This window comes from Homo sapiens, chromosome 6 (genome assembly GCF_000001405.40).
Source record: "Homo sapiens chromosome 6, GRCh38.p14 Primary Assembly".
NCBI lineage: Eukaryota > Metazoa > Chordata > Mammalia > Primates > Hominidae > Homo > Homo sapiens.
Genome location: NC_000006.12, coordinates 113,087,383 through 113,112,300, shown reverse-complemented (window position 1 = coordinate 113,112,300; position 24,918 = coordinate 113,087,383). Strand labels below are relative to the sequence as shown.

Genomic DNA, 24,918 nt, shown 5'->3' with positions numbered 1-24,918 from the left:
ATGAAAGGCAGCAAGGATGTGTCTACTACATAAATTTTACAAGAGTTAAAATGACGTTTCTCTCTTGTCTCAACTCTTAATTGACTGCTGATGGTCACTGGGGTGCTTATACAGCCTCAAGGCTGGCTCCATTCTGCTGCCATATGTCTCAGTTGTAAGCTCACTACAAGTTCCATATGGCTGCTTAATTCCAAAGAATCTAAAGTGTCCTCATGTTCCATAGGGCCAGTTGAGACAAATGACTTACCTTATATGGTTCGGGTTTGGACTAACTGAGAAATGAAATAAATAGCTGTACCCCAAATCTCTCAAAAATGCTTTTCCTTTAATAGAGAGGCTGCTATGGGCAACTGGCATCTCTGTCGCACTTTACATGTTTATCTACTCTCTAAATAGAGAAGACATATTTACTCTTAAAATAATGGAAAGGTCACATTTTATTTGTACTGAATAAAAACACTAACATAATTTCTACCAAGTTAATGCTCAATTCACTATTTCTCTCCCAGTATAAATAATTATCCTTTTTATTTGATGATGATGATGATGATGATGATGATGATGATGATGGAGCTATGCTGCTGTACTTGGACACCTTATGGTAAGAAATTACTTATATATTTATTCAATCAAAGATTTTTTTAATTCAATTTAAAGATTTGACAGTTAATCACCTGATTTATTCTTTCAAGCGGACCCTTTAAATCTTCATTTCCTTTGCTCTTCTTTCCATTTTATAACTGTCCTGCAGTGTCCTAGTCCTCGATCTTTGCAACAATCTGCCTTCTCCATTGTAAACAGTGCTGGAGAATTTGCAAAACCATGCAACTTGGCCTCTTTACAAATTCACTGCCTCTCAGTTCTGATGGGTTCTCTATCTATTTCAGTCTCTTTGTTGTCTTCTAAATGCTCCTATCTTGTTGCCGTCAACAAAAACTCCAAAGTCTTGCCATTCTCTTCATGATTGAAACTCTTTTCCTTTTCCTCCACACTCTCACTCAACTTCCTGCTTTTTATATCCACAGACAAATCAGTGGGGCCACCGCATCCTTATTCTCTTCAATCTAGTCTGGAAGGATTAATTATTCCATTGAAGACTAATTCATTCAACTGTGCTGCTGAAAACCTCCTTATCTTCTCAAGGGACTTTGCTTTATCTGTTGACTGCTTTGCCTTGAATTATGATCCGCTCCTTCTCTACTTGATCTTTTTCTTACTGAATGAAAAATTCAGGTCAACATACCCTCCTATCCATACTCTCTTTATATTCTACCAATCTCTTTAACTCTTTTGTCATCAGAAGATCTTGAGCCCTTTCTCTGTACTTGCTGTCTTCACTTCTTTTTTCTTTCCCTGTCCCCACTTCCACCTCCATTTACTACCTTAGAGAATGCACTGTTATCTTTCATGAAAATTCATGTTTTCCTTTTATATCTCTGTCATCAATGTGGGCTTCCTTTTCTCTGGCTGTCTGTTACATTATCATTATTTCTCAGATATTGCAAAATGACCAAAGCTAATTAGGCAATTCATAATCCTAGGTTTCATTTTTTGATAGGTAATGGTGGTCATTCTACAGTAGGAATTTGCTAATTCCTCAGCCCTGCTACTCGTTATAAAAAAGCAGGGCAGGCATAGGACAAATTCTGCACAAATACAGCCTACAGACATTTATTCAACAAATGTTCACTAGCAAAACAGGCACTATACTGTTCTCTATAAGACTGATTTGATCTTTAATTTTTATACTGAAATCTATCTGCTTCTTTAGTTTCATTGGACACTGTGATTTGAGTGATTTTACATGCATGTATGTATGGGGTGGGTAAATGGTATGTGAGCCCTTATGTGTTTATGTTGGCATGTCATGAAACAGGTGGAAAATTCAGTGACAAAAATATCAAACACATTTCCACATTCTTCTGTGCTAACTGCAAGAGGAAAGGGAGGGAGGGGAGACAGAAATATCTCATTTTATTGAATTCTATTCATTTGAAAGTGCACTAGCATTTAGAGCTATTTGTGAATAAGTTGCAAGAACATCTGCTGATGTTTGTTCGTGAAAATTATTGGGCATCTAGGAATTAATTATGATACCTTTTTATTTCTTTTTATTAAACTTCCTCTAGATCATATTTATATTTTTTCATTTGAGCAGAATTAAGTCTTATTTAACCATATGTCACATTTATAGTGATTTGAAATTGTTAAATGGGATGTCATTAATTTCTGAAAAGAATTATTTATGATATACATAACATTCCAATGTAATTAACTGAAATGATTATGAAATCACTTATAATCTTTCAGCTTACAAAATGAAATGGTTTTCATTGTTTATATTTCTCTTAGTACATGTAAAACAGCATATCATTCTTTATAGTTGTAACCATAGCATATATAAAATATCTTTTGTAACATTAATATTTATTTATCTTTGTTACTATTCTGCTTTTATAACTACTATTTCTAGTTGTAACAAATTATGTCATATAGTAGACAAATATCTTCTTCTTTACTTACTTATACCCCTATTTCTTGTCATTTGCTAATGCTCATTATTTGCTATTATGAATGTGTTGTGCTAAACATCTCTATAGATAACATTTTCTTTCCTGTTGGATTATTACTCAAAATAAATTTCCAGAAATTATATTACTAGATCAAAATATGGACATTTTTATGATTCTTGCTGCATACTGTACATTATTTCCAGAAAATTCAAAAATATTTTAATAGTTATTTATTGATTATATAGTAAATTTCAGGAAACATATTGCTACTAGACATACAGAAATGAAAAACAGAGTTCTTTTCCTAGGGGAACTCATTCTATATTTTCTGCTTGGGTGCTTTGACTTCTGCTATGGGTGAGCAAACCATTTATCAACCATTAGTGGGCTTAACAACTTTAAACTATACTACAGGGCTACAGTAGCCAAAACAGCATGGTACTGGTACAAGATCAGAAACATAAACAAATGGAACAGAATAAATAACCCAGAAATAAGACTGCATGCCTGCAACCATCTGACCTTTGACAAACTTGACAAAAACAATCAATGGGTAAAGGATTTCCTACTTAATAAATGGTGCTGGGAGAACTGGCTAGCCATATGCAGAAAATTGAAACTGGACCCCATCCTCACACCATATACAAAAATCTGCTTAAGATGAGTTAAAGACTTAAATGTAAAACCCAAAACTATAAAACTCTAAAAGAGAATTTAGGCAATACCATTGAAGACATGGGCACAGACAAAGATTTCATGACAAAGACACCAAAAGCAATTGCAACAAAAGCAAAAATGGACAACTGGAATCTAATTAAACTAATGAGCTTCTGCACAGCAAAAGAAACTATCAACAGAATAAAGAGACCACCTACAGAATGGGTGAAAATTCTTGCAATCTATTCGTCTGACAAATGTCTAATATCTAGCATCTATAAGGAACTTAAACAAATTTACAAGAAAAAAAATCCGCATTAAAAAGTGAGCAAAGAACATGAACAGACAGACACTTCTCAAAAGAAGACACAGATGTGGCCAACATACACATGAAAAAAAGCTCAACATCACTGATCATTAGAGAAATGCAAATGAAAACCACAATGAGATATTATCTCACACCAGTCAGAATGGCTATTACTAAAAAGTCAAAAAACAACAGATGCTGGCGAGATTGTGGAGAAAAATAAATGCTTATACACTGTTGATGGGAGTGTAAATTAGTTCAACCATTGTGGAAGACAGTGTGGCAATTCCTCAAAGACCTAGAGGCAGAAATAACCATTTGACCCAGCAATCCAATTACTGGGTATATACCCGAAGAAATATAAATTGTTCTATCATAAAGACACATGCATCCGTATGTTTATTGCAGCCCTATTCACAATAACAAAGACATGTAATCAACCAAAATGCCCATCAATAGTAGACTGGGTAAAGAATATGTGGTACATATACACCATGGAATGCTATACAGCCATAAAAAGGAACAAGATCATGTTCTTTATAGGGACATGAATGGAGTTGGAGGCTATTATCCTTATCAAACTAATGCAGGAACAGAAAACCAAATACTATATGTTCTCACTTATAACTGGGAGCTAAATATGAGAATACATGGACACATGTGGGGTAACAACACATGCTGGGGTCTGTTGGAGGGCAAAAGGCAAGAGGAGGGAGAGGATCAAAAAGAATAGCTAGTGGATGCTGGGCTTAACACCTGGGTGATGGGATGACCTGTGTGGCAAACCACCAAGGCAAATGTTTACTTATGTAACAAACCTGCACATCCTGCACATGTACCCCTGAACTTAAAAGTTGAAAAGAAAAATAAAATAAAATAAAATAAATACACCACCACCACACACACAAAAAGAAAACCTTTAGTGGGCTTAAGTATTATATGAGGTGTTTCAATTAAAATGAAGATTCTTAGGGCCACTCTTGCACATATTCAAATTAAGAAGCCTTGATTATTTCAAATTAATGGCACCTAGGTTACCTTGACTTTTCGCAATCATCTCCAGGTGATTCTGATACTAGTGGTCCATAGACCATGATTTGAGAAACACTGAGTTATATGCCAATGACATCCAAACCTGTATCTCTTGACCTGCCCTGCCCTAAAAGCTTCAGCTCAACTGACTTTAGAGATAAACATATCCCCAAAAAAACTCACCATCCTTCTTTTTAAACATTGCCCTCTTTCTGCATACAGGAAAATCAATAGCTTCTCCATATTGCTGCACTTGGATTTTATCATACAATGCCTACTTGTGGGGGGTGTTACTTATAAATAAAATTTTATATGCAGATCATTTAATTAATTAAGTCCTTAAAGTAGTCCCTGAAAATGGAAGACAATCTTCAAAATGTCTTGTTTTAGATTAATGACCCTTCAGTTACCTATTAAATTTTACTCTTGAAAATTTTCCATAAATAACAATTCTGTAGTAAAGGTTCAAATGTATTTTGGGAAAGTATATTTGTCCACATATTATATATTGTAAATATATATGTGTATCTGTATACATATACAGATACGTATAGACATACATGTAATGAAGACCATTCTTATTAGAATAAAAATGAATAATCTGAAGATTTCAGATAAGAAACCATACTACTTACATATTTATTTTAAAAATTAAAATAGGAAGAGGCTATTTGAAACTTGTTAGAAATGTCCTGCATCTATAGATTAAACTAAAACAAAATAAATAATGTTATTTTTGTCTTTCACAATAACTTGTATTACTATTTTAAAAAAATATTTTAATTTATAGGATATATGTGCACAACGTGCAGGTTTGTTACGTATGTATACATATGCCATGTTAGATTGCTGCACCCATTAATTCGTCATTTATATTAGGTATTTCTCCTAATGCTATCCCTCCCCCATCCCCCGACCCCACGACAGGCCCCAGTGTGTGATGTTCCGCATGCTGTGTCCAAGTGTTCTCATTGTTCAATTCCCACCCATTAATTCTCTCCTCTTTCATAATTCTAGTTTTCTACTGAGTATCTCTCTCTCTCTCCCACTCTCTCTCTCTCTCTCTCTCGCATACACACACACACACACACTCTCTCTCTCTCTCTCTCTCTCACACAGCTATTTCTTCTCTGTTCTGGTTTCTTTAATTTGTACATTAAAAAATAACATATAGCAACACCATATACCTTTTAATCCTCTGTGCACCTTTACATACCATTCTACCTTGCTACATTTATCTTCACCAGTTCAATGAAATAGCTCCCGTAACTATCACAAAAAGTACTTATTTCTTGATTTATTTGACCTCTATGTGTAGTGGAAAATTTAATCCACTTGACATAGATTTGCCAGAGTTTATTCATGTTATCAAAAAGTGCATCTAGTCATTGCCCATTTAATGAAATATTTTAAGAAAGTTTCCTTTCTATTGATTTCTAGAACATGACTCTCTTCTGGTTTTTCAACTCCTTTTTCCATTTCTCCTTATCCTTTTGTCTACTTTTCCTCGGCTGTAAAGGCACTTCTTTATTCAGCTATATAAAGACCATTCCTGTTTTTCAGAGCTCTGTCTTCAATCTCCATTTCACTCTGATCCTCCTGGGTTAATCTTATATACTTCAATGGTAGTAAACATTATTTATGTATGTTATCATCTACCTATTCTATTATCTGCTACTGAACACAGATTTATGTATGTCTGTGTTTATTAAGTGTACACAATTTTATTTCCCAAAGATACCTCCAGAAAAGCTAAACCAATTATCTAATCATTACCCTACCACCTAAATAGGTCTTCTGTATTCATCTTTCAAGGAATACTATTTCTAGACCAAAATAAAACTGAACAAGAGCAACAACAGGAGCTAGATCGTTTTCCTAACTCCCCACATACAAAGTGAGCAAATGAGCAGCTCGAAGGACATACTCATGAAAAGGGTATTGGTTTGGTGTTTAGCAATAGCCCACATGAGTGAGAAGGCTATGAAGCAGAAAAGAAGGCTTGCTTCTTTTTACTGCAGGCCTGTTGCTTTGTATATCATTAGGTTAGAATAGGTGTTCTTTGGCATTCAAGAGTATACCTATTCCCTTGAATACACAAGTGCTTCTCTATGCCATTTCTGATGGCCTTATCAGAACTGTACCAGCTTGGCAGTAGACTTTCAAACATGCCTTGCCATTTGTGGCCTATCCTAGCCTACTTTTGCAAGTAATCAATGATATCTCATTCTTCTTCCATTGCCACCTACCCATCATGCAGTTTCCTGAGCAAATCATGTTCCAGGTTTCATCCATACCATTCTATGCTACATTTTCTATCTAGATACATTTCCTCCATCTTTTCTTCTTCTTTAACTGGCTCCATGTGTTTCTCAATCTTCACTTCTAGGAAGCCTTCCTCTCCTTCCCCATTGTCTCTAGTCGTGGTTGGATACTATTTCTATGTAACTTTCTTTGCCATACCTTTTGTTATATCATTATCTAATTTCCCTTCTGGCCGTATACACTACCAACTTCTTGAGGGAAGTGATGGTGTCTTTTTTGTCTAAGTCTTCAGTGCTAAATAGAGTAATTTTTGAGGTAGTTGTCCTAATATAGAATATTTTACTCCATACGTTAACGTTATTGTGAAATGTAAGCTCAAGAGTTTAATGACTCATGGAATTTTCTGCCCCATTCATAAAGCATCTCTTTCAAGTTCTAATTCCCAAGCCAAGAACTGAGGTGAGTCCATGTCAATATATTTAAACAAAATTTACTTTGGTTACCACCAATTCTAAGTGGTCAGTGGCATTTTTAGAAGATGTTTGCATTTTGGTTACACAAATAGATAACAGAATTTACACTTAAAATATTGCACTTTGTGGAACATAATGGTCAGAGAGATGGCATCGAGGCTTCCGTGGGCTCATTACAGATGCCTGTGGACATCTAATGGTGGTTAGACTACAATTCTGCATTTGACACACACACAGGGTTTTCATGTCCGCTTAAATAATTATAAACAGAAATGTTAGCAAGAAGCTAAAGTGGAACTCATGACACTGAGGTCTTGGAATAATGTTATGCTGGTGAAACATTAGCAGCATGGCTTGGTTTAAGGTTTTGAATACTTGCTACTGCATTCCTCTGATTAAACTAGTTTCACTCATGATATTTATCTTTAGAAGTAGCTACAGCTCTTGCTCTTATATTTCCTTTGGTCTTACAATATTCTAAATCAACAGTATAAATATCATCTTTATTCTCGACCCATAACCAATTTAAACTTTACAGTCATAATAACTTACTCTTTAGATTGGCACTTTTTAACTTTATGGCTTACTATGATAACAATGATTACATTTTTGCCTTCTTTCCAGGTAAAACAATAAGAATTCCAAACGGTATTTGATAAATTATTTACGATACCCTCCATGCACAAGAAATCAATACGAATCATGGGTTCCCTTTTTTACAAAAGCATGTAAGTCCTGGTGATGTTTTATGACTTACTCGTGGTACATGCTCTACAGATCAGTAACAACCAGTAAAGCAACTTGGCAGCTGTATAACTACTTGCAGATTCCTAAACATACCAAACCCAGTGGCAGGCATGGTAATAAATCATTGAGAGTTAAGAACATTTTTTTCTTAAAACATTCCCAAATGGAATTTTCCTTAAATGTAAACTTTTTTAAAAAAGAAAAAGAAACAGTTATAAAGAAGAAAGTCTAATCTCAAACAATAGTTTTATTTATTTCAGTATATTTTTCAAATAATCTATATATATGTGCAGTCGTTTAAATAATATATACCCACACACAACAAAACAAATCATAAGTTCAAGCTGTAGACAGTGAAAACATGTCTTAGTCATATCCCTTCCCTGTCTCTCTTTTTATTCCAAAGTGAACCAGTTACTGGTTTCTTGACTGATAGTTAAGACCTGTGTTTGTGCATTTACACATTTTTCCATGTTTAAAAGATTGAAATTCTTTCTAGTTTCAACTCAAGATTTCCAGCTACTGAAAGAAGGTTGCTATTAGAATAATATCTATTTTCTTTTTAAAGAAAACCACAAATTCTGAGTCACTATCGGTCCTAACCAGTTATTTCCCCTTAAAAGAGAAACAAATTTGTTTTAGTCAAAACTGGCAATACATGTGAGAAACACATAAATATTTAAAGAAACAGCAAATCTGCAAAGTAAAAATACTGATATTGGCTGAACTCTCAAGTATATCTTATGTACAACATTTGATGCCTTTTTAAAAGTTATTCTGGAAAGTCTCTTATAGAGGCCTATTTATGAAGTAAATTTTAATGCTTCATTTTGGAAATACCTAATGTGCTCAACTTCTATGAAAAAGGAAACTATTGTTAACAGTGTTGGAATATTATTTGAAGGATAAAATAAAGTAAAATACAAAGATAATTTCATCTTTCACTTCAGGAAGTGCTCTGATTACTTGTGAACTGTTTTAGTTTTCAAATCTAATGTAAATCCGCAGGCAAAATAGAATATTTATAGAAAATAACAAAGAGGGAGTCATGTTTGTTTTTATTATCTGCTAATGATAAATATTTAGGATCAAGAATTTATTCAGTGAATAACTTGCTTAGGCATATAACTGCATTTTGGAAAATATAGGGCTTAGGAAACTCCTAGAAAAGTACAAATAATTAATTGAAAATCGCGTCTACATCCAATCACAGGGATAAATGGATCTTAGGAAAATTGTAGTTCCCGTGGTCAGGATGTTTTTCATGATGGTGGCAGTTGGCCTCTTGGGAATCTGAGAGATTGTCCAAAAGCTGACTAACAGGAAGACAGAAGTGTAACTGCAGCACAAACAGACAGGAAACAGCTATGTTAAGAAAACATTTGGTAAGGGCTACCACATAGACTTTGTTCAATGCGCTTCCAGGTCATTATTCACAGAAGTTTTCCAAATTTTTATTCTATTTCTCCTATTGTAATTACCATTTCCCCTTGTAAATAATGTTCCTCTTATTATTTTTAACAGCCATATCATTTCAATGGTGTGGGCTGTAACACATTTCTTTCACCATTTTCTTAGTGTTGTTTTCTTCTTATTGAAAACTGCAGTGATATTTTGAATGCAGCTATGTCATGCCAAGAGTAAAAAAGTAAGTGAAATTACTGGATTAAAATGTACAAACTTTTAAATGGTTCTTAATGCATAATTAGATTTTCTTTCCATGCAGGTTTTTTCTACTTACCTTACCACCAGCAGTGTACCAGGTTTACCATCAACTCCCTAATATTGACTGTAATCAAATACAGTTAGTTTTGGCCAGGTGCAGTGGCTTGTGCCTGTAATCCCAGCACTTTGGGAGGTTAAGATGGGTGGATCACCTGAGGTTGGGAGTTCAAGACCAGCCTGGCCAACATGGAGAAACCCCATCTCTACTAAAAATATTTTTATTGGCCCGCACCTGTAATCCCAGCTACTCAGGAGGCTGAGGCTGGAGAATTGCTTGAACCCAGGAGAAAGAGGTTGCAGTGAGCCGAGATTGCGCCACTGTACACATGTATGTCCAGTTACTTTTTGACATATATGCCAATAGAATTCAATGGGGTAGGAAAAAACTTTTCAACAAATGATCGTGTAACCACTGGTTATCCTTATGTTTAAAAAAAAAAAAAAATCCAATACCACTGCCCTCCAGCCTGGGCCACAGAGCTAGACTCCTTCTGAAACAAAACAAAACAAAACAAAACAAAACAAAACAAAACAAAACAAAAAAAACGAAAACAAAACAAAAGCAAAAACAACAAAAAAAATACATTCGGCTTTTACCTTGATGGAAAAATGATGCATCTTTTTAATATAAGTTTTTTTCCCTATGGAAATTATCAACTTTGTAAACAATTTTTTTAAAAATCTGTGTGTTAACAACTAAGATCTTAATTATTTTCTAATAAATTCTTTATAAAATGTAACTATTGACATTTGTGTTCATGGTAGTTTATGAACACATTTTTCTCATGCCTTTTTAAATTATATTTTTCCCTGATAGAAGTTTGACATTTTTATTTATTATAATTGAATAACCTTTTAGTTTGTAATTTTCTTTATCATTTTAGGCCCAGAAAGATTTTTATTGCTAGAGATTAACTAAATATTCAATCAGATTATTTTGAGTAGGTTTTTAAAATTAGTTTTATACACTTTGGGAGGCCGAGGCAGGCAGATCACCAGGTCAGGAGATCGAGACCATCCTGGCTAACACAGTGAAACCTCGTCTCTACTAAAAATGCAAAAAATAAGCCAGGCGTGGTGGTGGGCGCCTGTAGTCCCAGCTACTCGGGAGGCTGAGGCAAGAGAAGGGCATGAACCTGGGAGGCAGAGCTTGCAGTGAGCCAAGATCTTGCCACTGCACTCCAGCCTGGGCGACAGAGCGAGACTCCGTCTCAAAAAATAATAATACTAATGATAATTTTATATAATAAATTGTTAAAAATTGCTAATATTAATTTTGTTTTGGTGTAATCTGTGAATCAATCTTCCTCAAAATTTACGCAATTATAATTAAATTAAAAGTTAGTAAATAACTTTTTGTTGCCCATTGTTTAGAATGCTTACTTTATCATAAATCAAATAACACATAATAAAATTATTTTCATAATTATTTCCTAAAATTTTTTGTGACTCATTGGTACCTATGTGTGATAATATTCTGAAGTTTTAATTATTTTGCTTTATAATCAGTTGTAACATGTGCAAAATCTTTTCATCCTAAGAAGGTTTTCACAGAGCAAGGTTTTAATTTTGATGAAATCCAATTTATCAAAATTTTCTTTTATGGTTTGTGATGTTAGCATCAAGTCTGAGAACTCTGTCTAATCTTAGATCCTAAATATTTTCTCCTACATTTTTCCAAAAAATTTGGTTTTACATTTTGTGCTTAAGTCTGTGATCCATGTTGAGTTAATTTGTGTACTGGGTGTGAGACTTAAGTTTATTTTTTGCAAATCAATGTTCAATTACTGCAATCTTTTTTTGCTGAAAAGACTTTCCTTCATTGAATTGCATTTTCGCCTTTTTCAAAATGTAGTTAGAAATATTTGTGTGGATCTATTTTTGAGTCTCTACTTTGTTACATCAGTGTGTCTGTCCCTCACTCAACATGACAGTTTCAATTACTGTAGCTATGTTTCCAAATTGTTTTAGCAATTCTTGTTTCTTAGCTTTTCTATATAAATTTTATAGTAACTTTGTCTACATCTAAGAAAATTCTTTTTTGATTCGGATAGGAATTTTGTTAAATTTGTGGAAGACATACATTCTGTACATATTTTCTTAAATTTAAGCCTAAGTATCACATTCTTTGAGCCTTTGTAAAAGGTATTGTATTTTTTATTTTGGTTTTCACATGAACATTGCTAGAATATTAAATTATGATTGATTTTTGCATTTCAATCTTATAGCCTCTGACCTACTAAACTCACTTATTAGTTCTAAAAGATTTTATGTAGATTCCTTGGTGTGTTCTATATAGACAATATGTCATTTGCAAATATACGGATTTATTCCTTCCTTTCTGACCTGTATGTCTTTTATTTCCTTTTCTTTCCTTATTACTGTAGCTAGAACCTGCAGCACTATATTAAGTAAAAGTGGTAAGAATACAAATCCTTGCTTTGTCTTCAACCTTAGAGTAAAGCAGTCTTTCACCAAGAAGCATAATATTAGCTATAAGTATTATATACATGACTTCATCACATTAAGGAAGTTTCCCTCTATTCTTAACTTGCTGAGCATTTTTCTCATGAGTATGTTTTGAATTTTTTTAGTTTTTTTACATAAATTGAAATGATCATGTGAGTTTTCTTCTTTAGTTTGTTAATATGGCAGAGTACAGTGATTTTTTAATTTAAACCAGCTTTGCATTCCTGGGATACAAATCAATTGGTCAAGGTGTATAATATTTTACATACTGCTGAATTCTATTTGGTAATATTTTGTTAAGAATTTTTGTGTCTATATTCAGGAGGGATATTGGTCTGTAGTGTTCTTTGTTTTACTGTGTTTGTCTGATTTTGGTAGTAGGGAAATACTAGTTTCATAAAATGAACTGGAAAGTATTCCCTCTTCTTTTATTTTCTAAAAGAGATTGGGTAGAATAGGCATTAACTCTTCTTTGAAAGTTTTGTAGCATTCTCTGGTAAAATTATCTGGGACTAGAGATTTCTTTTTGGTGATTTTTTTTATTACAAGTTAAATTCTGGGTGACTTGTGGTACTGCATATATTTGAATGCTATTCCATTTCATCTACATTGTCAAGTGTATGTGTGAATTCAAATTATTCATGGTATTCCTTTATTATTAATTTGATGTCTAAAGAGTGTGTGGTGGTAATCTCCTGTGTTACTTCTGATAGTGGTAATTGTATCTTCTCCTTTTTTATTTGTTAGTCTTATTAAAAGTTTGTCAATTTTATTGATCTTTCCAAAGAACCAGCTCTTTCCGTGTTCTTTTAATAGAGATTTCTTTTATTGAGTCTATTGTGTTTCTATTTTCAACTTTTTTGATTCTTGCTCTTATATTTCCTTGCTTCTGTTTGTTTGGGTTTATTTTGCTCATCTTTTTCTAAGTTCTTGAAGTAGGGCCTTAAATTATTGAGACATTTTCCCATTTCTAATGTAGTCCCTTAGAAGTTTGACATTTTTATTTATTATAATTGGATAACCTTTTAGTTTGTAATTTTCTTTATCATTTTAGGCCCAGAAAGATTTTTATTGTTAGAGATTAACTAAATATTCAATCAGATTATTTTGAGTAGGTTTTTAAAATTAATTTTATATAATAAATTGTTTTAAATTGCTAATATTAATTTTATTTTGGTGTAATTTGTGAATCTATCTTCCTCAAAATTTAACTAACCAATTATAATTAAATTAAAATTTAGTAAATAACATTTTGTTGTACACTGTTTAGAATCCTTACTTTATCATAAATCAAATACTTAACACATGATAAATTATTTTCATGAATTTTTTTGTGGCTCATTGGTACGTATGTGTGATAATATTCTGAAGTTTTAATTTTAATTTTAATAAGTTTACCTTTCAGCATTCCTTTAGCTACCTATTTAATCCATGGACTATTTAGAAGTGTGGTTGTTTCCAAGTGTTTGGAGATTTTTTTTTAATCTTCCTGTTATTGATTTTTCATTTGATTCCATTGTTCTCAAGAATACTTTGTATATGAATTTTCATTATTTTAAATTTTTTGTTTTATGGCCCAGGATATGAGTTATCTTGGTATACATTTCATGGTCACTTAGAAAGAATATATACTCTGCTGCTATTTGTTTTGGTGTTCTGGAAATGTTGATTATACACTGCTAGTTAATGATGCTGTATTTTTGTATATCCTTGTTGATTTTTTGGCCTAGTTCTAACAACTGCTTAGAGAGAGATATTGAAGTCTCCAAATATAATTTTGTATTTGTCCATTCATCTTTTCATTTCTGTAAGTGTGGGTTTCATATATTTTTCAGCTCTGTTTTTTTTTGTGTGTGTGTGCATACAGCTTAGAATTGCTATGTATTTGTTGGTGGAATGACCTCTTTCTTAAATTATATAATGTCCTCCCTACCTTTGGTAATTTTCTGCAGTTTGTATGGTTTGGCTGTGTCCTCACCCAAATCTGAGCTTGAATTGTAATAATCCCCATGTGTCAAGGGCAGGGCCAGGTAGAGATAATTGAGTCATGGGGGCAGTTTTCCCCATACTGTTCTTGTGGTAGTAAATAAGTCTCAAAAGACCTGATGGTTTTACAAATGGAAGTTCCCCTGCAGAATCTCTCTCTTGCCTACTGCCATGTAAGATGTGACTTGCTCCTCCTCACCTTCCACCATGGTTGTGAGGCCTCCCCAGCCATGTAGAACTGTGAGTCAATTAAGCCTCTTTCCTTTATAAGTTACTCAGTCTTGTGCATGTCTTTATTAACAGCATGAGAGAAGACTAATACAGTGGTTTAAAGTCTACTTTATCCAATATTAATACTCTAGTTTCTTTTCATTAATGTTTACAGGATGGATCTCTTTGTTTCCTGCCTATATTGTATATTTTAAGTGAGTTTCCTTTAGACAGCATATAGTTAGGTCATGTTTTTTAATCCACTGAGCTTCTACTCTGTTTTATAATTTGTGTATTTGGACCACTTACATTTAATGTAATTATTGATATGTTAGAGCTGGAGATCCAAGGAACAACACAGTAGTGAGTTCCCAGGGTTTTATTTTTGCCTCATATATACCAGACTTGGAACTAAAGAAGCCAACAACTGAAAATACTACAGGAGATTTTAAAAAGAAAGGTGGGGAGTGAAGAAAAGAAAAGAAAATAGCAAGAGCAAAAAACTCTCTCTCTAGTCAACAAGGAAAGGGCAAGCTCTTATTTTTGCTGGTTTTGTCTAACATCTGGCAGGTGAAGAAGGGAAGTTTATTTCTTGTAGCTATCAGGTGGGGTTAGAAGTTGGAGTTCCACTAGTGGGAGTAGGGTTTAGGTCCCCACTCAGCCTCTGCTGATAACAAGGGGAAAGAGCTTATTCTTGCTGTGAGGTAGGGGTAAGATTTCTGACTCCATGTAGGACCTTCATTGATCTCTCCCTGGCTAAGAGGGGTAGAAATGCCTCATTATTATCCCCATGTGACTACCAGCCATATCACTACTGCTGGGGGGGTGATGAGAATCCTGACTCCTTCATATGTTTTCTCCTACAGCACCTCAATAAAGAGGAGTAAGGATGGCTCATTACTGCTGACTGGGACTGAAAGTCCAGGCTCCCCTTCCCATGGTCCCCACTGACACTACTGGGGGACAGCTACATTGGTTACTATCAAATACGATTAAAATTCTGGTTTCCTACTTGGCCTTTCTGATACCAATTTGGTGGTGATGGTGGAGGGAGTGGTAAATTGGAATGCCCCATTATAGCTAGGCAAGGATGGATATCTATGTTTACCATGCAGCCGTTGCTATCATGAGTGGGGATGGGGAAACATTTTTGTTTTTCTCTTTGTTTTCCTTTTTTTTTTTTCCTCTATGATGTTAAGCTGAAGTAGTGTTTATTTTCTAAAAGTTCTCTATCTTGTTAGGTTGCCTTTTCCTTGTCCTTTGATTAGAGAGTAGTTTTTGTTGTTTTTCTCTTTTCTCTTCTCTATCTCTCTCTTTCTCTTTCTTTTTATCTTCTCCTGTGGTGTTTTTAAGCTGTTGACTTCTTAAGCACCAAGTCCGGTATTTATGAGGCAAAAAGAAAACCCAGGGAACTCACTATTCTGTTGTTCCTTTGATCCTCAGTCTCAGATGGCCTGGCTTCTTCCCTTCACCTTTCATAGTTTTCTTATGTTTGTTTTATGTATAATGTACAGGGTTTTTAGTTGTACCTAGAAAAGAAACAGGAAAAATATATCTACTCCATCTTCTTAGAAACAGAAGCCTGAAAGTACCTAAGACTTTTTAGAATCTATAAAGTATAACATTTTAATATAAAATTTTTAAACTTTTAGGAAAGAGCTAAATGCATATTTTATTAGTGTATTAATTCAATGTTACTTAAGAAGACAAATCTGCCACAGAATTACCTAATCACTGATGAAATAACCATGGATCTTATTCAGTAATGTCTTCTTTACTTTGATTTGGAAATGACCCAATGAAAAATTAACATCAGGTCCGCCATAGAAATTGTCCAAAGGCTGCAAAGTTGGCTGATTGAAGAATCTCTAGGGGTATCATGTTTTTTCCATTTCTCCACTTTCTTAAAATTACACTAACATTCCTAACTTGGTCCAATATGATTTCATTTGGGAGGAGTATAACTGTAAAGATAAAAATTCCAGAGCTTTATATCTGGAGTTTTCATGTTCTATTTGCTAACATGTTTTACATTATCTTTCTTTTTCCTTTTTTTCCTTACGTCCTAATTGGACTCATGTAAAAGTGAAAATTCACTCAGCATTGCTTACATGAAGCCTCTAACTTGATGAGAGAGCAAGTTGGTTAAAAAAATAGAAGCTTATTTGAGAAATGAGGAGTTAGCATTGTGCCTGTCGAGGCCTTCCTCCTGTCTAGCACATGGACCATCGTAAATGGCCTTGCGCCTGGGTGAGTATGCGGACATTGGGCTAGAAGGAGCCCATGAAAAGCAAATTTTCCTCAGGTATGAATGCTACCTGTGAATGTTTGTTCTTGGAAGGAGGCCTTTCTTTCTGCTCGGAGGCCAGTGCCCAACTTTCGGCCTGTGGGAAGGGCTACTTCCAAGGCCACACTCAGCCCTACTGAGATAGTTCCACTTCATCAGCAGTGGAACAATGATATCTAATTATCTGCCCATTTGTACGCCTATTTCCACTCACTTACCATAAAGAAACTACATTTAGTAATAAAATAGCTCATTCTTAACCAGGGCAAAGAAGATATTTCAATAACTCCTTTAGGAAAATAAATAGTAGTTCAAGGTAAGTTCAATCTTAGTAAGTTTTAGATGGGTCAGAAGATAAAATAGTTTGGGTATATCATATATATATATATAGAGAGAGAGCAATTATATATTTTATACATATAGTGATTTTATATATATATATATATAATAGTTTGAAGATATACATACACACACACACACACTCACACACACAAATAAACATCCTTCAGTCTGCCATATCACATATATGCAATATCATCCGATAAGCAACCTAACCATCTAAATATTTTTTAAGGGCACTTTCCTGAAGATAGCTAACCACTGTCTATGTTAATTTTCCTTCTTGCACAATGCTTCAAATGTTTGTTTAAGTTGCAGCCACTTTAGTATGCACAGCAGATTTTTCAAAACAGTGAGCTCTTACAGTTTTTTTCGATGTGCTCAGTATGCTTGTGGGAATCATTCATATTTAAATATTCCCCATTGAGAAATCAGCTCCTATGGACGTAAACTTTGGGACATCATTTTGATTTCTTTACCTTCTGTGTTGCTCTGTGAAGAACTACAATAGGAAACAGAAGAAAACACAATATTGGTATAGGTTATACAAGTTATTATTTAAACTCCTTTGACTTCTAACTAGAATGCCTTAGTTTCTAGTCATGTGACATTACCAGATATTACTTTTGTGTGAAGTTTATTTGCAAAAGTATCACAACAGAGAGAAGACAGGAAATTTGGATTTTGCTTTAGATATTTTAGTTCTGTACATATTTCAAAAAAGCTGTACATGAAATATATGCTATTAAAATGGGAATATGTGAGTAAGTAAGGATTGACAACTTTTGAAAAACTATAAAGGAAGAGAGAGGGGAGGAAAAAGACTAATCAAAAACAACTCTTTCCTTTTCCCCAAACTACCTTTCTAAGAAGAAACCATTATGCCAGGTTAATTGGTCATTGGGTGTGAGAATTCAATGACTCTCTCTCTCTCTCTCTCTTCTTTTTTTTTTTTACTCTGTCTCCCAGGCTGGAGTGCAGTGGTGCAATCTCGGCTGACTGCAACCTCCACCTCCCTGGTTCAAGCAATTCTTCTGCCTCAGCCTCCCGAGTAGCTGGGACTACAGGCGCCTGCCCAAGAGTGATGAACTGTGCATCAGGAACTCAGCATGAGTATAAACATCACCCTCTTTTTTATGCAGTTTTTACTCAGGTTTTATTTAATGCACTGTTTCAACTTTGTAGCTATCACTTTAGTCAGGCACTTAGATTCTCTGTTATGTGAGTATTTATATTGCTGGACTGCAACTCAGAGAAATTGATATCTGTTCTTGTCAGTGGACATTTTGGAAAATAAGTGCATGACCAATGGTGGTGATTATTATTACAGTATATAACTAATTGAATTGTTGTTGATCATTTTTCTTGATACAAGTTATAAAATGTTAACATCCACTTAACAAAACATTTCTTCACTCCTGGGAAGGAAAATAGAAATGTGCTCTCCTTGCACGTAAAGATAACAGAGTCCATTGCCCATTACAAGTTCAAATTCACATCTAGTTCCAGTGTCTCGCCAGGAAAAGGCAGGTGGAGATGAAAGACTTGAATGAAACAAACAAAAAAAAGCCAGCCTGTTATGTGGCACATTGAAGCAAGCCTCTGGTTTCCTTGCCTTAAAATAATTTCTCACTTTGCAGAATTGAATATCACATTATAATTAACCATCAGGCGATTTACAACTGCTTGTAGATAATGAAATAGCATATTAATGTAATCAAATTATACAAAACTTTTTTCTTTTTCAAAACTGCTTTCATATGCATAATCTCATTTGTTCCTTACAGTATCATAAAATATAGGGAAATGTTATTTTTCTCATTTTTCAAAGGAACTTGATGTTCTCAGAATTGATTGATCAGATAAGAAAACACAGTGTCAGTCTGGAAACCAGGCCTTCTGATTCCTATACCTTGTCTAGTCTCCTAATCAACAGATTAACTCTCATTAATTCCAAAATAAAATCGCTTAAGGCTGAGTTCCTGAAAATAGAGCAGAAGACAGAAATTATTTTGCAAATGATTTACTGAGGGAGTGATCTCAGTAGAAACATCTAGGATTGTGAAGAATGCAAGACAGAGTAGAGGATGAAATCAGCCAAAGAAGAGGGCTCAAGAGAAGTTTGGCCTCAACCTGATCACACAGGAGGCTCCAGAATATGAATTGCTCCAGAGATTTTCCCACCCAGAAGTGAGAGAGCTGTTGTAAGGACTCTCTCCCCTTCACTTAGTCATTAGTTCTGAACACCCCTGAGAGTGGAGTGGGGTGCGCCTCCCAGGCAGAGACAGATGAGGTGGCTCCCAGAGTCAGGTAAGGACAACACTCGAAGAGGGGTGCAGCTGAGAACAGCAGCTGGGACAGGTGCTTCATATCGCTAAAGGCACCTCAACAGAATCTGCTACTGATAAATAATTTTAATTTTCTTTTGAGCTGTTTAATTTTTAATCTTATTGTGAATAATTTCAAGTACATACCAAAGTAGAAAGAATAGCACAGAGAACTCTAGTACACACACGCCTATTATCAGTAAGAATCAACACGTGGCCAACTTTGTTCTGTCTGTGAGTGTTGAGTTCTTAGATAACAGAGCTTGTCATTCTCTGTATGATAGGAACACCAACATACATAGCATAATTTAAATAATTATTTTAATTGAAATATTCTAGTTAAGAAACAGTTTAGAATACTAGAGAGAGACTTGGATTTATGATATAATGCTATGATCCTTTGTAGCTTAAAACACATTGTAATTTTCTACTAAATGTAATATAGAATAAACAGTTTATGTTATCAAATGCATTCAGCAGTTTTGTACTAGTTCTCTAGCGATTGTTTACCCCAGACAGATCCCAAAGTGCAATTTTTATAAGAGCGGTCTTCAGACCATTACAAAACAAATGGATAAGCCAGTTGGAATCCTAAGGCAAAAGAACTTGATGGATTCCTGTTACTCATAAGGTTTTTTTATTTTATTTGAGTCTTGCTTTGTCACCCAGGCTGGAATGCAATGGCACAATCTCGGCTTACTGCAACCTCAGCCTCCTGGGTTCAAGCGATTCTCCTTCCTCAGCCTCCCAAGTAGCTGGGATTACAGGCACCTGCCACGACACCTGGCTAATTTTTGTAGTTTTAATAGAGACGGGGTTTTACCATGTTGGCCAGGCTGGTCTCAAACTTCTGACCTCAGGTGATCAGCCCGCCCCAGCCTCCCAAAGTGCTAGGATTACAGGTGTGAGCCACCACACCTGGCCACTGTTACTCATAAGATTAAGTCCACATATTCAGATATCATGCAAGGGTCTACATAATCCTGCTCCAACATCCTGTTGTATTTCACTTTTCTCAAGTCTCCCATATACATGCTGTGTTCTCGCCACCCTGAACTGTTGTTCCTAAGTCAGTGTACCTTTTGGTGTGGCTCTGGGCCTTTCAATTTTCTAGTTCTCTGCCTAGATTTTTAGCCTCCATATTTTTGAATGGAAAAGTTAGTCCTAGTTCAAAATACAACTCAAACATCATGTACCTTCAAAAACATTTTCAGCCTTCATTTTTCCTCTTTCCAGTCATTTTTTTTTTGTCTTCATCCCCTTTGGTTTTCATCCCACACCCCCATCCCCATCTTTCCATAGGCAGAGTAATTTCTTTGCCTCCAGTTAATGGCCTACATTCCCAGAAATACCCAGGACTGTGTCTTTGTGCCTCATTTACATTTGCACCAATTGGGGACCTAGAAAATGGTGCCCAATAAATGCTTGTTAAATGAACAAAGGAATAGCTCCTCCTTTGAGTCCCTTGACATTTGTTATATATATTTACTATGTCTCATACCACATTTTATTGTGAATATTTGTTTCCATGCCTGCTTTGCCTATTGTCTAACTCTGAGTTTCTCAGAAGCAGACTATAAGATAAGGATTCTAGAACAAGTAGCTTGTTTGCGACTTGATATCAGGAAACGTGATTAAGGTGGTGGAGAAACAAGATGAGAAAAGAAAAACCAGCACTGTGGGCAGCCGGAGCTTAAATCTGATGGGGAACTCTGGGAATTTTTAGAACATGGACTTTAGTGTTATCCCACCTTCGAGAGATTGATTTAGGGTTGCTTCAGGAAGGTATTAATTTCCAGGCCTTCAGCATACTCCACATAGGCAGAGTAGGATTTGGTGGCCAGAAAAAGCCCTCAGATAAAGAGATTTAGGTGCTGGCTGTTGGAAGTTAGTATAGTATGCACAAAAACGGAGGTGCCAATGGGGATATGAGTGTGGGACCAAGAGCACCTATTATACTTAAGGATTGCATGAGTCACTGGTTTTGATCTAGATCTAGTCTTCTTTTATTATATCATTTTAAGCTAATGATAATATAGCCCACTAATTAAATGCTATACAATGAATGAATAAATTGATAAATGAATGGTATAGTGAATGGCTCTATTAAGTTACAGGCATGCTAAGTTTAACCAGGCTTCTGGGTCTACTGAGCATACCCCAAGACCATACAACAAGCCTGTTCTGGAATGTGATATACTCTCCAAGACTGACAGATATTAAGACTCTCAAAGTGAGTCCCTTCCAACATATATGAACCACTGCAGTGCCACCGCAGCTATATATGGTAACTCTACTCTTCAATCGTGGCTTGTCAGTTGAACCTATAAAACGGAATCATGAAAGGTAACCTAACACATTCCAAACTTTTTCCCAAGCCCATTTTCCATTACGTTTCCAATGTGCGGTTATTTCAAGTGAAATGCAATCCATATGGCTCATTTACATTTATATCTCTAAATATTGCTTTATAAAAACACGTTTATGTCTTCAGGAACATTTTCAAACATATTGAGTATATTTATCTTTGCCTGAAGATAATCTGACCTAGAAAAATGAAGTGATTTATGTGTTTTGGGCTCGAGTTGGGTATACCGTTAACATAGCCCAGATTCCACCATTAATACTGTAAAAAGGAATGAGGAATTTTGATCACAGTTACCATATCTAGAAAATGACTGTGATTGTGATAATTTGGTGTCAAAAACTTTTGCTTATGAAAAAAGATTCATTGCAACAAATCTTTTTTATATTAATTGAAAGATATGTGAGCAGATTCTCTGAAATATTTGATATAAAATTATTTGTAAGCATATGCTGAGAATATTACCAAAAACAATGAAACTATCCATGGACCTTAAAAAAGCATGCAGCAAACATCAGCAAAAATTTGGAATAAAACTTACACTTTTATTCATATCATGTTGAGTTTTATGTATGTGTGTGTGCATGTGTGTATATACATTTATACAGTGTGCATGTGTGAGAGAGAGCATGTACACATATACACACACACACACAATGGTGAACTTGTATGTCATTTTACTTATAAATACAATGTTGTTGCTATAGCCAAAGCTATGTTGATATCATGTACCATGAAGTTGTTATGCTTAGTGACAAGGTAGGTCACCTTTTTTATTTTCTTGAAATCTATGAGAATTAAACATTTTATGTTAAAGTTTTTTCCAACACTTTCTTATGAAACTTATCACAAGTAGAGAAGAGTTAAAATAAATTTACAGTGAACACCTGTAAACCCATCACCTAGATGCTACCATGAACAATTTACTTTTCTTACCACATGGCTATGCATCTCTCCATCCTTTCCATCACTCTTCTCAGTTTGTTTATTTCAACATAAATCACAAACCTCAGTACTTAAATATTTCAGCACAATAGATTTTACTATACATTACCTTTGAACAAGACCATCTTTTAAGTTAAGTAATAGTAACAATTTTCATATTATTACATTTTGTAGTCTTTTATAGTTTACAAAATATCGCAAAACAACCTTATGAAACACATCATAAAGATTTTATGTTCCCATTTTGAGAAAAAGGAAAAGAATGTAGTTTTGTCCTAGTTTATTAAACTAATAAGTAATAGATTCTATATATAGATCGGGGTCCCCAACCCCTCAGGGCCACAGACAGGTACCAGTCCACCGCCTGTTAGGAACTGGGCTGCCCAGCAGGAGGCGAGCTTCCGGATAGAGATCAGCGTTTCACCTGTATTTGCAGCCGCTCTCCATCACTCACATTATGGCCTGAGCTCTGCCTCCTGTCAGATCAGCAGTGGCACTAGATTCTCATAGGAGTGGGAACCCTATTGTGAGCTGGCATCCGGGGGATCTAGGTTGTGCACTCCTTATGAGAATCTAATGCCTGATGATCCGAGGTGGAACAGTTTCATCCATCTCCCAACCCTGGCCCATGGAAAAATTGTCCTCCATGATACCAGTCCCTGGTGCCAAAGTGGTTGGAGACCACTGCTACAGATCACCAACAGAGGTCTTATGTTTTCCAGTTCAATTTACAATCAAGCATACTGAAAGGCTGAGGTGTTTACACTAAAGATATATGGGTAGTTTTGTTAAATTTTATAGTTATTTTTTAGACAATATTATACATTTTGCTTCAACCATCAAACACTTTAGAAAACTCAAAAGGAGAAATTCTGTAATATTTACCCATATTTTCACTCTTCCAGATAGGTTAAGATTCCTTCCTTTTATTGTTTCCTTTCTGTTTTAAGAACTTCTGTTAGCCATTCTTTTAGGGTAGGTGTACTGGTGACAAATTCTCTTAGTTTTCTTTTCTTTGAGAATTTATTGATTTCCCCTTCATTTCTGAAGGAAATTTTTGCAGGATATAGAATTCCTTTTTCACAGTTCTCTCGGCACTTGCAAATGTGCCACTTCCTTCTGGACTTTGTGGTTTCTGATCAGAAATATGTTGCTATTCTAATTTTTTTTTCCTTCCAGGCAGTTTTTAAGATTTTTGTCCTTTAGTTTTTAGAAGTTTGATTATGATGTTTCTTGGCATGGCTTCCTTGGGTTTATCCTGTTTAGAGTTTGCTAAGTTTCTTGGATTTTCAGGTATATGTCTTTTATAAATTTGGGAAATTTTCAGTCATTTTCTTTAAATAGTTTTTCATTCCCATCCCCTTTTTTCTTCCTATGTGGGGCTCCAATGACATGGATGTTAGGTCTTTTCTTGTAGTCCTATGGGAGTAGTCCTGTTTACGATTTTCAGTTTACTTTACTGTTTATTGTTCAAACTGGGTAATTTCTATTGTTCTGTAATCAAGTTCACTGAATGTTTCTTCTCTCTCCTCCATTCCACTGTTTAGTCCATTAATTTCTTGTTTTTAAATGTTTGATTTTTTTTAGTTCTAAAATTTTCGTTAGGACTTTGAGGGGAGTTGAGGCTCCCCACTAGGTTTTCAGTGATACCAACATGCTTGCAAGGGAGAGTGCCTAGTTACCACTCTCCACATGACCTTCATTAATACCTTGGTTAGAGGTAGACCTCATTACTTCTGGAAGGTACTAAGAGTTCTGTGTCCCACCTGGCTTCATCTGATAGTAATCTAGTAGGGAGAGGAAATGATGCCTTGTTACTTCTGGTTGAGTGTAGAAGTGGAGACCTTGAGCTTTCCACTGACACCATCTGTACAGACCTGGGAACTGAAATACCAGCTCCTCACTGACTTTCTCTGATATCACACTCTGACATCACTTTCATCTGAGAAAGATATGCTTTGTTAAAGTCAGGACAAGGGTAGAATTCTAGTCTCCCCATTTGGTCTTTGTTAACATGGGTATACAGTCAAGTATGTGTGCGTGTGTGTATGTGTGTGTATTATGCATCTTCCATTAGATTTATCCATAGAAACATGATTTTTATAGTATTGTAAATATCATTTTAAAAATAAAATTTTTTGATTAATTTTTTGCTGGCTTGTAGAAACAGAATCAAACTTTACTTGTTGACCTTGTACTCAACACCTTACTGACTTCACTTATTAATTTGTATATTGCTTTTAGATTTTTTGAACTTTCTAAGTGCTAAAA

At 34.9% G+C, this 24,918-nt stretch overlaps 1 long non-coding RNA gene across 2 annotated transcripts; it reads left to right on the top strand.

The window, feature by feature from the left end:
* The first annotated feature begins 545 nt into the window (after positions 1-545).
* LOC105377952 (uncharacterized) lies at positions 546-18,019 on the top strand. 2 transcript variants are annotated; one of them, XR_942888.1, is made up of 5 exons: positions 546-601; positions 7,872-7,975; positions 9,208-9,379; positions 16,471-16,634; positions 17,980-18,019. It is a non-coding gene; the product is annotated as an uncharacterized LOC105377952 (long non-coding RNA). The 2 variants fall into 2 exon arrangements; XR_942889.1 differs by lacking the exon at positions 9,208-9,379.
* The last annotated feature ends 6,899 nt before the right edge of the window (positions 18,020-24,918 follow it).